At 36.9% G+C, this 15,201-nt stretch overlaps 1 annotated feature.

Annotated features, from left to right (window-relative positions):
* Positions 1,446–1,947: an enhancer, noted in NCBI's record as "NANOG hESC enhancer chr6:104748956-104749457 (GRCh37/hg19 assembly coordinates)". NCBI's record gives its function as "activates a minimal SCP1, AML or CMV promoter by ChIP-STARR-seq in naive H9 embryonic stem cells {active_cell/tissue: H9 hESC(naive)}" and the evidence as "EXISTENCE:reporter gene assay evidence [ECO:0000049][PMID:30033119]".

Below are 15,201 nucleotides of genomic sequence, written 5' to 3' on the forward strand. Positions count from 1 at the left end.
TTAACCACAGAAAACTGAGTGACTCCATGGGTAAAAATCAACTTTACACATATACAGAATAGAGAGTTATACCAGCTATGAAGCCTACAGCTTTGAACTATAGAAATTGAAATGGCAGTTTATAAACAATAGAAATGGATTAAAAATTAAATGGTCCTGGCTAGTGATTAAAAATAAAATGCTAAAGTAATATCCATCAAAAATGTTCACAAGATAAAGAGAAAAGCACAACTCCTGGGGTTGTGCTCAGGGGCTGCCAGGAGGTAACAGGGAAGGGAAGGAAAGGAAAGGAGAAACCAGGCAGATCACGTCTGTGACTGAACTCTTTCAACTAGAGAATCTCTACTTTAGCCGTTGTTAAAAATGGAATTCAATGTAAGCTTACAGAATGATTCACCTGCTAATTTTTTTATAATTTTATAAAACATTTATAATTTTATAATGAGTATAATTTGATCATTCATTATACACAGGACTATATCCCAGAAAGATATAGTGACTTTCCCAAAATCTCTCAGCTAATTAATGCTAACCCAAGTCTCCAGTTTACCAAATCTGCTACACTTCCAGTTGATGGTGGTATTATATAAATATACTAGAACCTATAGCACCTATTGGATAAACAGATTAGAGAAAATTACTATCACAGAAAAACTGAAAATAAAAGATACATAGGTAGCATGTACTATCTTCTTACTATATGTCAGGCATGATTCTAAACATTTTATAATTATTAACTCATTTAATACTGGAAACGAGTCCTACTCTATACATTGGAAAAGAAAATACAAAAGTGTCAATTTGCCTTCCCAAAGTGACACACAGGAGTAGACATATTTTAAACCTAAGTGGTCGGATTCTTAATACCCCATGCTCTTAACCATTCTTAAAGGATGTAGCATATAAAGATGCAGCACATAACAGTGGTGGCCCCAGGAGGCTTAGAAAGGACATGACACAGAATAGGACTGGAATAGGACCAACAAAGTAAACAATCTGAGAGATCAGAGATGGGAAAATTGCAAGATTTTTAAAGATAGGTTTGACTTTGATATTTGTTCATTTATTAAACAAATGTTTATTGAATGTTGACCATGGGCAAGCACCATTGTAGCCAGTGGGGAGTCAGAGGAAAAAGTGTCATTATCTCCGCTTTTATGGATCTTATGTGCAGTAAACAAGAAATGTATATATGCAGAAGAAAAATATCAGAGAGTAATAAGTATTATAGAGAATTCAAATCTGATAGTATAATGAAGTAAATTGGTGGCTAGTTTAGATTAAATGGCCAGGAATTAGCTCTCTGAAGAGGTGTCATTTGAGCTGGTATCTGAAAGATAAGAAGTAGCTAGCCATAAAAATTCAGTGGGAAGAGTATCCCAACCAGAACAAACCAGGCCAAGTATAGAGACAGAGGAGTGTAGTTGGTTTCATCGTGAGCAACTCATTGGAGAAATGGCTTGAGATGAGACTGGAGGGAGAGATAGAGAGCAGCATCCTCAGAGAAAAACGTTATTTCCAAGTGCAATGAAAAGAAACAGGAGTGTTTTATGTGGGAGGGTAACATGACCTGAATTACTTTTCAAGAGCATCACGCAGCAGGTCACCTGTGCGGAGAGGGTTTTAGAGGACAAGGGGGAAGCAGGAAGAGCACTGAGGAGGCCATGCAAGATCCCAAACCAGTTGAAAGACGGTAATGGTTTGAACAAAGGCAGTGGAGATAGAGGTGAAGAGCAGTAGATTTGGGGGAAATGTTTAGGATATAGGCACAGCAGGGCTTGTTGACGTGGGCAATGAGGAAGAAAGAGGAATTCAGGATAAGCTCTTGACATTGCACAGAGTTCAGTTAAAATGGGAACTGAGAAAACACTGTGCTTTTAGGGAAAAAACTCACATCTGAAGCTTTTCCAAATTATGCAGAAAAAAGAAAATAATCACACAACAGGCACATGTGGCTGGAGTTCAAAGACAGCATAATAACAGTCTTTTAAAAACCATTATATTACTGCTACATTTGTCGTTCAAATGATGACTGGAGCTTGACCAAGGAATTCAAATGAAAAAGTAACAGGCAACACAAAGATGCTTTATAAATTCAAAAATGCAGATGCTAAGTAAAATAAACACAGATTCACCTCACTCAAACCATATTTAAGCCTGGGTAATTTGTATATTCATTTAATTTCCATGAGTGCATTCGAGTGAGATTTTGGAGGGTTTTCTTTCTGCAAGTGTATCAGAAACTATCCCTCTAAATGAGTATTGTCCCCTTCAAAATAACTGCTCTGGGAGAAAATAAACTTATTCTAATGATATTGTAATTGCTCAAAAATTGTCTTGGAACTGCTCTGTGAGATTTACTTTCAGAGCCAGTAGCACATTCTCAGAGCAACAAGTCTACATCACTGAGGGTGGGCTAATTCAAAGACAGTCTGAGGCTGAGAGCCCTGCATGGCTGATGAAGTTCAGTTCTCTCATTGTCGCTCTGCGGTGTTCTCAGAAAGGGCGCGGCAAGTGAGCCCACGCTCTCTGGTGTGTGCAGGCTGTCACACCCACAGAGCACTCAGACACCGTAAGAATTCTGTACGATAAGCCTGATGGACAGGTTAACCTCGTGGGCTGAATTTTTTATGAGCGAAGCCATCGATATCAAAGAAACAAGTCCACATTGTACTCAGAGGCAATTCTTTGGTGTAATCTTTTTTCTTAGGGCAGGGATAGTGTATGTTCCACTCCAATTCTGATAATTTCTTTCTACACCATCCTAGATAGGACATGTTTTACCATTGATTTCTATGTTTTAATATATCATGTTTCCACGTCTTGGTTCAGGGAAGACGGCATACATCTATACACCTTCCCATATACCTAATGGGAAGGCTTCTCTGCCTGTTCTTTAGTACAAAATACAAGTACAACTTTTCAGAACTTGCCTCATTTCTGAGTTTTACTTTTAAGAATGCCTACATACCTTTGTCTAAATTAAAAATTTTAGCCCTCCTTCTGATAGTTAATTGCTTATTTGAATGCACCAAATGTCTGATATTCTTAAAGATTCCATGATTATACTGTAAATGGATGAATGGTTCCAACATTTTCAGGCACTTTTTTTTTAAGAATGGAAAATATATTGACATTGCTTTTTCTCATAAACTTCTCTTGACATGTCTAGTGTCTCATTTTGCATATTTGTTCAGTCACACATAGAAAAAAAAGAACAAAGTTATTTGCTGTCTGAAATTGCTGCTAGTTTACATGTTGTCAAAAGCAACATGTAATTCTATTCACTTCCTTTGCTAACACAAGAAGGACTGGCCAAAGTATCACTGTTGCTGGTAGAATAGGAATTTATATTATTCTTCTGATGATTTAGATATAATTGCTCATGTACTCAAATTTACTACACAGAATAAATAATTTAGTGTACTTTGTAATTGATTACGTAATTGTTTTACTTCCCATGTAAAAAAAATTAAAGGAGTAGAAGCACTCTATTTTTGGATCAATCCTAAAATCATCTCCTTTCAGGTATAGGCACCCCTTACCTTTCCCTTCCACCCCAAACAAACACTACTGGGTCAGGACATTTTCCTCCAAAGAGTTACTTTATGAAAATATGTTACTTGGAGGCAAGATTTATTTTCAACTGTGATGGACATCTGGGCTCTAGCCTAAAAGAAAGAGGGAGGAGAAAGCTGATATAACAGGACAAAAGGATCTTAGGGATGTGCCTCAATGGTATATTATTGAGCCCTGTAATAGTTAGCTCTGAAATGAAGTTACAAGATGTTCTAGATGTGAACACTTCCTGGACTTGATGGACCAAACATTGGGCTCTCCTGTCACAAATGAATATAGTCAGGGTCGACAGATACAGAAGGTCAACTATACTCCATTTTATATATGAGACTAGAGCATCCATGAATTTTTGTATCTGGCGGGGGTGGGGGATCTTGGAAATCAATCCTTCATGGATACCAACGGACAAGGGCATACAGAAGAGAAAGAAACTTCAGTCATTCCTTGTGCATGTGGCTTACGTGTAAAAGTGCAGTCAAAATGCTTTTTTCAATTTTATCATTGACTCACATTTATTAGTTTGATGCAACTTGAGATCAACTAAGAGTTCATTGTCAAGATTTGTCTTGTATTTAAAAGCAGGCAAAGGTAAAGTTAAAATGCATTATCCTTTCGTTTTCAATACCATTCTTAAACCAAATTAAGGAAAGTCCAAATTTAAAAATCAGGTCTAGTTGTAACTTCATTTTAAAGATGGAACCTGGGTGTTCAGATAGCTTTCATTGGTAGTGCTGATGAAAACTAATTAACAATAGCATCAAAAGTATGCTGTTACTGCCAGAGACTTTCTCATTTAACCTTTCAAAGCTGTATGAAAACTACACAAAATTTAGCCACATGGCTAAAGAGTTATGTCTTCTAAAGCTTCCCCGCATTCTAAGAATGTTAATTTTTCATATCAACAAACAAGAACATAAGATTATATATTTAAAAATGTAATAAAATCCAGGATATCCCTGCCACTACATACATGCAACCAATATAATCCCCTATGTTGTTCTATAATTAAAATGAATGAAATTCTAGAAATTCCACTATGTATATGCAACCAATATTATCCCCTATATTGCTCTATAATTATGATGAATTAAATTGTAGAAATATGTAAGCAAATTTAGCTAAAGAGATAAAACAAACAATGCACACGCTATAGATGTATACAGTTTTTCAACTTTCTGAATAAGCATTCCCAGAAAAACGAAACTGCTTAATGATTCAATCAAGTTTAATCCTAACACTTACCTATGTGCCACTTTGGATGTAAACAAAAAATATCAATTTCAGATATAATTATATATAGCTCAGAAGTATATCCTTCTGGTTTGAGTTGAATACAGCACTGAGAAATCACACAAAGGACTAAACTGTTACAGGTATACAATTCTATTTTTGTAGATGAATAATTGGTCATTCATATCCCTGTCTGCTGCATGCCCTTTGTATCCTTCTATTGAATCACCAGTTCCCTATTCCATAAAACATGACTTTGTTTTAGGGGCACCAGCTTTTTTATGCTCCTTTTCTTTGTTTTTTCCTGTCATGTCCCTGTTTCTCTGTATTGATATTCCATTTAAATTGTTTAATATCCTCCTGATTTGGGTTCATGATCATTTTCCTTATCATTTTAGTTTTTTGTTGTTGTTGTCTTTCAATTCTTCCTCTCTACCTGTAACTGTTTTCTTCTTTTGATGCCTACCAAAGGATAGTGAGTGAAACAATTTGCTCTAGTTTATTTAGGTTTTTGTTTTATCTTGCTTTAATGAGATTTTGTTCTTTCTCAATTGTCTCTCTTTTCTTGTACTTTTTGTGTAGTAGGGCCATTCCTCCAAGGAAAAAAAAAACAAAAAAAACACCAAGACAGGATTAAATGTGCAAATATTCTATTGGGGAAAATTACTATGTCAAAAAAGGATCCAAGTAAGATTGGGAGAGCCATGAGACTGCTATGCATGTTTTACCCCAGTGAAGGTTGTGGGGAAACAGCCTAGACTTCTACTCAATGTAGGGCATGATCAGGATTGGCAGCACCTACCAGCACAGCAGAAGTGCTAGCCCTTGCCCCGGAATTATCTGGACTACTTCTGCATGCCCAGAAAATGTTGAGGATGTTTTAGCATAACAATCTTCAGAGGTATTCATCCAGATGTACTCTATGATTCAGGTTCTCAGAATTCCCCTGGTACGGCACTGGTTCCATGAGATACCTGCCTGCTCTGAGCATTCCAGTGTTGGAACTCCGAAATCCTACCAATTAGGTCTCCAGCCTGCAGTGTCTGCCTTTCCACTACAAGTAATAAGGACATCTTTCTAGGCAACCTTGGAAGTTCTCTGGTTCTTACGGTTTAGCTTGATTATTAACAGCTCTCAGCGTCTCACTGTTCTTTTCTCTTATTATCATTATCTAGGTTTTCAATACAATTTAGCAGCAATTAGCCAACTCAAATGCTTTGTAGGCATTGTATGAACTCATGGTACCTGCAGAACTGAGACTTTGTTGCCAATAGCAGAGTCCTAAATAACACAGCCATATGATAATATTTCCTGCCTCTTTTTCTCCAGTTGGTCACTCCTGTTTCCTGAAATGACTCCTTCCAAAATAACTGCCTGCACACAAGTCCTTGTTTCAGGTTCTACTCTCCAAGGAACTCAAACTAAGACAGTTGATTCCCAGAATATCCAGAGAGCAACGCCTCATGATGGGATTCTGGACCTAGATCACTCACCAGATAGACAAGAACATCTATTAAATGCTGGTGGTGGCAACCATAATGGGGACTGTAGCATCACAATGACCAAGTCCCTGATCACAGTGGAGGAAAAAGCATTCAGTTAGACAGTCATCCTAGCACCTGAACAATATGGAACAAAAGTATAGCCATAAAGACCTTGGAATTGGCTGGCATTTGTTGCCATGGAAGTCTTAAAGAGAAATCTTTAAGAATGCAAAGATCTAAAGGATCCCATTGTATCTTTTTCTTCCTGAAAGACCCTGAAAATATATAAATTAAAATGAACCGGTTAAAGTGAATGTAAAAACTAGTCAAAGATATCAGCAGACTCCCTGGCACTTAAAACATGGCCATTGACCTGTTGAATGATTCTTTTATGACTCAAACAGTTGAGGTGGAGGGATTGCTACCAACAAAAATAATAGGCAGAAACCAAAACTATTCCAAAGTCACTAAGGGCAGCCTGGAAAGACAGAGAAAGTTGTGTGGAGAATGGGAACATCTTAGCCTATGGAGATGGTAAATGCAGGTTAATGCTCAGATTCCTGTTTTCACGCACACATTTTCCAAAAGCATACTCTTTTCTTTGCTGAGCTCTGGTTAAGCAGAGCTCATCTTGGCTACAGCAGCAACATCTGAAATGCATCAATCTTCCCTGTCATACTCTCCCCACAAGTGTGACCTGTGGTTACCTCCCAATAAATTACATGTACCCAAGTCCTTGTCTCATGCTTTGCTTTCAAAGGACCCCAAACTAAGAATGACAATAATCAGCTCTGCCAGCTTCTGGTTTGGTCAGAGCCTACATGATCAGATGACTCTGGAGACGGCAGTAGCAACAGAGGGAAAGGAATTGTGTCCTGGGAAAGCCAGGCAAGCTCAGACTCAATGATATCTGCATCAGTATGTATGATGATGAACAAGCCAGCCCTTTGTAGAGTGCGTTTAGATTTTGCCTTACTCATCTGCCATCTTTCTCTAGCTTTAATACTTACACCTGATTCAAGGTTTCTGCATCTGAGGTTTACCTACATAACATAGTAGTTATTAAACCCATTTATGCCTAGTGTTCCATTATTAGAACACTAAGCATGTGGGAGTTATTTATATCCTACTGCTCAAGGTCATTGTCAGGGTCTAATTGCAAAAGTACAAAAAAAAATTGCAACCTCAGGCATAAATGGGTTAAAAACTCCTGCAAGAGCAAGGTAAACACTGTGGGCAACTGTTAGAATGAAGGACTGAGCTGATTATTGAGTTAAAGAGTGGGGCAAAGGGGCACAACAGAGGACTCCAGTTACCAGAATACTAGTATATATGTGGTCACAGGAACAATATGGAAATCCTGTTGTTAGAATTAGACTTCAGTTTAAGAACCACACTTATAATAAGGTTATCTGGAGGCGGAATCCTGGAATGCCTCATCACTGACAGCATCCCATATCCTAAAATATGGTAAATAGCACAGAGCAGAATGGTGCTTACCAGAGGCTGGAGAATGGAAGAATGGGGAGAAGGTCAAAGGGTAGAAAGCCTCAGAAGAATTAAGGGGGTTTTTTGAGGTCTATTTACAGTGTGATGAGTATAGTTAATAATAGTGCATTGTACATTTCAAAATCTCTAAATTTCAAATGTTCTCACCACCAAAAAAAGATGATGAGTATTTGAGGTGACAGATAGGTCAATTAGCTTGATTTAATTATTCCACATTGTATTCATAAATCATAACATCACTTTGTGCTTCATAAATATGTTACAAGTAAAATCTGTCAATTTAAATAAAAATTTTAAAATGAAATAAAATATGGTTAAACTCAGGCTGTGATCAGTCACTGAGAAGGGGATGTGGAACTTTCAAGGTCCTGCTAGCACTGGAGCTAACGTCACAATTTCAGAATTATGTGGCATTCCAATGGCGTTTCTCCCCTCTTAAAGTGGGAACGAAACCAACAATACCAACCCTGCACTCTTCCTAGATATAAGTTAAAAAGTCTTCTATAAATTAAACCTTAGAAATGCCTCTCTCCCTTCTCTCATTTGTAGATTAGTGAATCAGACCCATGATCTAGAAGTATTTTTTATTGTATGTTAGTTATCAATAGATTTTTAAGAAAGTTACTGACATTTATGACAGTACGTATAGTTTATTTCCCTCTAAATGTTCTCTTCCCTTTTCTTGATGAGGGTCAATATCAGCCTATTTCTTCCACATATAAGGAAAACTTTTTGTCTACTAAATCATCACTCTTTAACCTTCTGCTTTTCCCGTAGTATACCCAAAGTTGAGCTTCACCTGAATGTCAGTATGCTAAAGGTTTCCTCATTTATAATAACTTTAATAGCATTATATGTCACTATTAATTCACGTAGCTTGCTTACATTCCTAAAAACGTTTTAATTTTAGTGTTGCCTCACTCACATCTGTCTTCATTCCTCCGGCTACTATCCCTACCCTTCATCATTTACTCTACGGCATAATATCACCTACATCCTAATCAAAATAAAGCAATGGCCTCAATGCTATGGCCCCTTCCTGACAGGTAAATTTGTGGGTTCAGCAACCTTTGAAATGCCCCCATAAAAGCAACTTCAAACATTTAAAAATGTGTATTCACAAACTCACATAAATTTTTTGGTGGTGTGATGCTGAGACCCAAATGCAATGATTTAATGTTGCACAGTTAATCTGTGAGAAACTGTATCTATTACTTAGGTACTGACTATAACAATGCTAATACCAAGCTTTTTTCTCAAAAAGCAGTGTAAACAATATACTTGTGGAGTTAGAGATAAAAGTTCACAGTAATCATGACAATCTTGATCCAAACACATTTATGATGTTGCTCTATTGTTTACATGGCCCTTTGTGTTTGATTCGGTACCATCTTCATTCTCAATAAATCTGAGGCATTTGCATTAAACCAAAGAACAATTACATGGTATTATGATGTCTGGAAATATTCTTTTTCATCAAACCTGGATTGTTTTACTATGCCTGAGTTGGACTCAGGATATTCTCTGGGATGTTGACCTAGGCAGGTTTTCTCGTAGAGGTCGAGGGCAGCCTTCACCCCTTCTGAGAAAGAGTTTACCTCCTAATGTTGTGAGATTCAAATGCTTCTTCCACCTTTCCTTTTTTATTTCTCCTAAAGAGCACTTTGAGGTATTTTTATTTTCTATATTCTATTTAATTGGTATAAAATTACATTACAACAAAACATGACAAAACTTTCCTTCTGAGAAGCTTAGGTGGAAATATGCTATTTGGAGTTTCTTGGAAACAACACTTTATGGGGATTCTGCTATCTGTTTTTTTGTTTGTTTGTTTGTTTGTTTGAGGCCGAGTCTCGCTCTGTCACCAGGCTGGAGTGCAGTGGCAAGATCTTGGCTCACTGCAACCTCCACCTCCTGGGTTCAAGCGATTCTCCTACCTCAGCCTCCCGAGTAGCTGGGACTACAGGCACAAGCCACCACGCCTAGCTAATTTTTGTATTTTTAGTAGAGACGGGGTTTTACCATGTTGGCCAGGATGGTTTCGATCTCTTGACCTTGTGATCCACCTGTCTCGGCCTCCCAAAGTGCTGGGATTACAGGTCTGAGCCACAGCACCCGGCCAATAGTTACTATTTATTAATAATATCATGTGTTCTGTCTGTCAAGTATTATTGACATTTATTATCTTCTGTCCTTGTTGAATGCCTGAGCACTCAGCTGGGCCTGAAAAAACCTAGCAGGAGCAGGTTTTCTTTGACATATTCTGGAACTGTTCTCTCCATGAAGTGTCATCTTTTCCTTATATTTAGATCAAAATAAAGATAAGCAGACACATACAAAATTTAAGATCATACTTAGATTTCAAAACCTGTCATCTAAGGCTCTGCCTAATTTACTTACCAAACTTTGCAAACAAATATCCTTTTCAAACATTTTATTACATAGTCAATGATCTAGTATATCTATATCACTTATTAAATTATGCTCATATTTCACAGCTTTTTGTATTCACATCCTTATCCATGCAGTTTCTTCCACCTAGAATGCTCTCTCCCAATTTGTGTCTTAGCTTTTTGTTTGTTTTTGCATATAAGCCATCGTTCACGGTGCAGTTTAAATGGTACCATATTCATGAAGCCTTTTCCAATTGATCCCAAATAGATTTAATATTTTTCCTCTGCTAAACTTCTATAACACACCCTTTTTCCATATAATTCTTGCCATTATAGCCATTGTTTGTAGTTACACATGAATTTGTTTCATACCATTTCCTGAAGGAGGCTTCCATAGCTTTCTTATCCTTTAGATCCAGAAACCACTGATTGCTCTACAGCAAGCATGTGTGTAATAGGCTACATTGAAAGCTACAGGAAGAATGTTACAATAACTATCAGTTTCATTCTAATATTTTAAGTAACAATCATTTCTAAAATGAGGGGAATTTTTTATGTGCTAGTCATTATCTTGGGTGCAGAATTGTTGTAGAAATGCTTTGAGGTATATACCCAGATCAGAACAACCCCCTTTCTCCAAAATTGCCACCATTGCATGAAGGGTGGGTCTGTGACAATATTACCCATATTATTTTACCCTCCATCCTAGCTACAGTTGATTGGCCAGAGGTAAACATTAATTCTTACTAGGCCTGTGTCATCGGAATAGTAGCCCAGGCTGCTGATATTCTACCCTTCCATGCAGAGAACAAAAAAGATCTATCAGTAGAAAGAATATACAGACATTTAAGCTTCACTAGCCATCCCACCATGCAACTGTACCTCCCATCAGGTCCCATTCTGTTGTTCAAGCCTCCCTGTCTTTCCCTCTCCTCTCTCAACCTGTCGCCCCAACGATCACATGTTTATTACATATTATGCTGGGCAGTTTAGCCATCTCTTTATGTTAACTGTCTCCTTCAAACTATGCCCTTGGTATTCCCTGTTTGGCAGATTGGAAAAATATGATTATATAATATACCTTCTTTGGTTTGTCTAAACAAAAATGTTATTTTGTTTTAAACAAATTTGCTCACCTCTAAATCAAATCCTGCCAGCAAAATGATATAGGCAGGTTTATTCAATTACCAATTTCAGATTCTCAGCTTCCTAGGCTTTCATCTGTAGTGGTGAACTGCAGAGGGGAAGTAGCAGATCTTAACACTTCCAAGGCTCTGAGAGTCAAAGTCACATGCTTCCTTTGACGAAAGCTTCCAGGGTCTTCTAGGAAGGATGATGCTTAGGCTAAGGTACTGAGTCTTAAAATGCTAAAGTAAACTTAGCTTTTTGATAGCTGCTGTCCTGATTGGAATTAATGTGGAAATAGGAGGGACCATACTTTATTCTTTTATTACAGCCACTATATTTTGTTAAAATACTTCTTAGTACATTATCTTGGATAAATCCTAGATGGTATTCATATATTACTCCAAATTACATAAATTATCATATTTTATACAAAAACAATATAGTAAAATAAATATTGCTCTTACTAGGAACATCTAAAGCAAAGGAGAAACTGAGATATGACATGAGGCCTGATTTCTGCTACCTGTCCCATGGACTAAACTTTAGTTTCAAATTGGCAGGACAATCCATCCCTAGTATAATAAATATTTCAATCATGACTTTAGTGAGTCATGTGTAGATTAAAAATCAAAATTACATTAGCTACATGGGAACGGATGTTGCATGTTATAAGAGATATTAGAGTTCAATGCTAACATTTTGTTCTTTGGGATTCCTTTGTTTGTATGTTTAGGTTCTTTAGAAATGGAAGAGAGGAGAAAGAGGGATCTATCATCAGCCCAAATTTGTTTTGCAGAAATAAGGTGGTATATGGTCACAGGTCTGCATGTTTCTGGTTTTTTGTGTTGTTGCTCAATATAGCTATATTTTAGATATTATTATTACCATTATTTAAACTGCAAATACCAGTAATATTGCATCTTCCACAGTCTGAATCATTTATGGAGAGAGCTAATAGTCCTCACAAGGAGGTAGTTTCACACTGGGAAGGTGTTAATAGATATAAACTGTGCAATTTGCTGAAATTGGCATGATATCTTTATTATACCCTCTGAGCTCAATTGGGCCAAATTTGACACTCTAAATTGCTATAATTTGAAGCTCTCTGGTTTTATTATTAAATATAAGCCTAAAATTTTATATATTTGCAAAGAAAAGATAATTTTCCTAATATTTTTAATAATTAATTGTAATTATATGTGGCATTACGGCATCATTACCTTCTTTGAAGACTAAGAGACACAGGTAGACTTCTCAAAGGGAGATAAAGCAGAAGGCACAGGGGGATCAGTGTGATAACAGCCCAGAGATGGAGAAGTCAGGCTATGCTCAGGGCAGTGGCAAAAATAAGATATGGCAAGAATGTAAGACGCAGGGGAGAGGTAGAGATAAAACTAGGAAAACAGTCAAATTAGGAAAGTTTTTGAATGACAGGCTGAGGAAATTATATTTTATTCTTTAAGCAATAAAGATATACTAAAGGTTAAAGCAGAGAAGTGATATAGTAGGAGAAGTTCTCAAACTCTGGAAACAGAATACGAGACATCCGGAAGACAACGGCACAAAACAGGAAAAAATCATTTAAGGATAAATTGCATATTAATGAATGTGTTATAAATAGGATACTCTAACAATAAACCACTGTAACTTTCATGTCACTCTACTACAAGGACCCAGGTCACTCATGATTTAGGATGTGGTAGGATTACTGCCAAACCTCCACTCAAAATAGCTAGGGCAACTATCATACAGTCTTGTGTTGCTTAATGATGGGGACAGTTCCGAAAAATATGTCTTTGGGTGATTTCATTTTTGTGCAGACATCATAGAATGCACTTACACAAACCTAGATAGTGTAACCTGCTGCACACCTAAGCTATATGGTATAGCCTATCGCTCCTAAGATAAAAGCTCATACAACATATTACTGTATGAATATTGTAGGCAATTGTAACGCAATGGTATTTGAGTATCTATCAATACCTAAACATAGAAAAGGTACAATAAAAATAGCATACCTGTATAGGGCACTTACTAGGAGTGAAGTTTGCAGGACTAGAAGTTGCTCTGAGTGAGTCAGTGAGTGAGTGATGAGTAATATTAAGGCCTAGGACGTTACTATACACTGCTGTAGACTTTCTCAACACTGTACACTTAGGCTACACTCATTTTTAATTTCTTTCTCCAATAATAAATTAACCTTAGCTTACTGTAACTTTTTTATTTTATAAACTTTAACTTTTGACTCTTTTTTAATAATGCTTAGCTTAAAATACATATTGCACAGCTGTACAAAACTATTTTTCTTCATATCCTTATTTTATAAGCTTTATTCTATTTTTAAATTTCTTTAACTTTACATTTTTTTGCTAAAAACTAAGACAACACAATCTGCCTAGGCCTACACAGGGTCGGAGTGACCAATATTGTTGTGTTCTACCACCATATTCTTGTTGCACTGGAAGATCTTCAGGGGCAATAGCATGCATAGAGCTGTCATCTCTGATAACAATGTCATCTTCTGGAATACCTCCTGAAGGACCTGCCTAAGGCTGCTTTACAGTTAACTTTTTAAGAAATAAGTAGAGGGAATACACTCTAAAATAATAATTTAAATGTAGTAAATACTTAAATAACAATCACTTATTATCAACTATTATGTACTGTACATAATTTTATGTGCTAGACTTTTATAGGACCAGCAGTGCAGGTTTGTATACAACAGTATCACTGCAAACACGTGAATAGTATTGTGCTATGACATTATGGTGGCTACTGTGTCACTCAGCAATAGCAATTTTTCAGCTCAATTCTAGTATTATGCGACCGACAGTGTATAAACAGCCTATCATTGACCAAAATGTGATTATGTGGTACATGACTATATTAGTCAGGCACTATTCTCCCTTGTTTCTACCACCTTAAATAGCCTAATATAAGTGTACAGAAAATGTTTACAAAAAAAATAAACCTAAAGTCTGCTAATTGCCAAAGATAATGTATTGTCTATGGCTGCTTTTAGGCTATGATAATGAAGTTGAACAGTTGCAACAGAGAAAGTACGATTACAAAGCCTAAAACTTTTACTATCTGGCCCTTGACAGAAATGGTTTGCCAACCCCTGTGCTAACCTACTGTCTGCTTTTAGAGGGCGGCTTCTTTGTTATTCCCTAAACAATCACTCTAGAAATGCCTTGCAGTTTCTTACTAGTTTCCTTCTGCCTTTCTAGGTTACCATTGCCTTTTTCTTTTATTTCCAGTGCAGCAGCTGGAGAGGTACTGCTCCAGAGGCAACTTGCCATCTTGTCAGCCTGGAGTGGCCAAATGGACACTTTACATCCTATGATTGCTTTGGTCACCTGTGGAGATAAATCAAAATGCACTCGGCATGTCTAGGTGGAGCAGTGACACTTCCAGGACTATTCAACAGAATTTGAAAATAAGTTGTCTATGCTTCTTGCCCACACAGCTCCCTTCTGCGGCCCCCTTCATCCTGCTTCAGAACCTTACTGCATAAAAACAAAGTTTCTGGTGAAACTCCTAATGATACATAAGACTGGAAAATGGTAATAATTGTGTTTAACCCTGCCCCAAAAAAAGACAAAAAGAAAATAAGTATGTGTTCAAGAGACTTGGCAATTTTATCATCGGTAGCTGAATGTGCTAATAAATGTCCCAATGAGATCAATGTTTTATTACAGAGCCCTTGAATCTACAGCTATTTTCCCTCCCTGGAAAATGAAGAAGCAAGTAGAGTGCTCTTATCAAGCTGAGGCTGACAGATAGGCTGCTCTTTATTGCCACAAAATAGGCAGGTGTTTTTTGACAGTGCATAGTCATTGATAAATTCCAAATATCCAAAAAATATTTTTGACCTA

This window comes from Homo sapiens, chromosome 6, assembly GCF_000001405.40.
Source record: "Homo sapiens chromosome 6, GRCh38.p14 Primary Assembly".
Classification (NCBI taxonomy): Eukaryota; Metazoa; Chordata; class Mammalia; order Primates; family Hominidae; genus Homo; species Homo sapiens.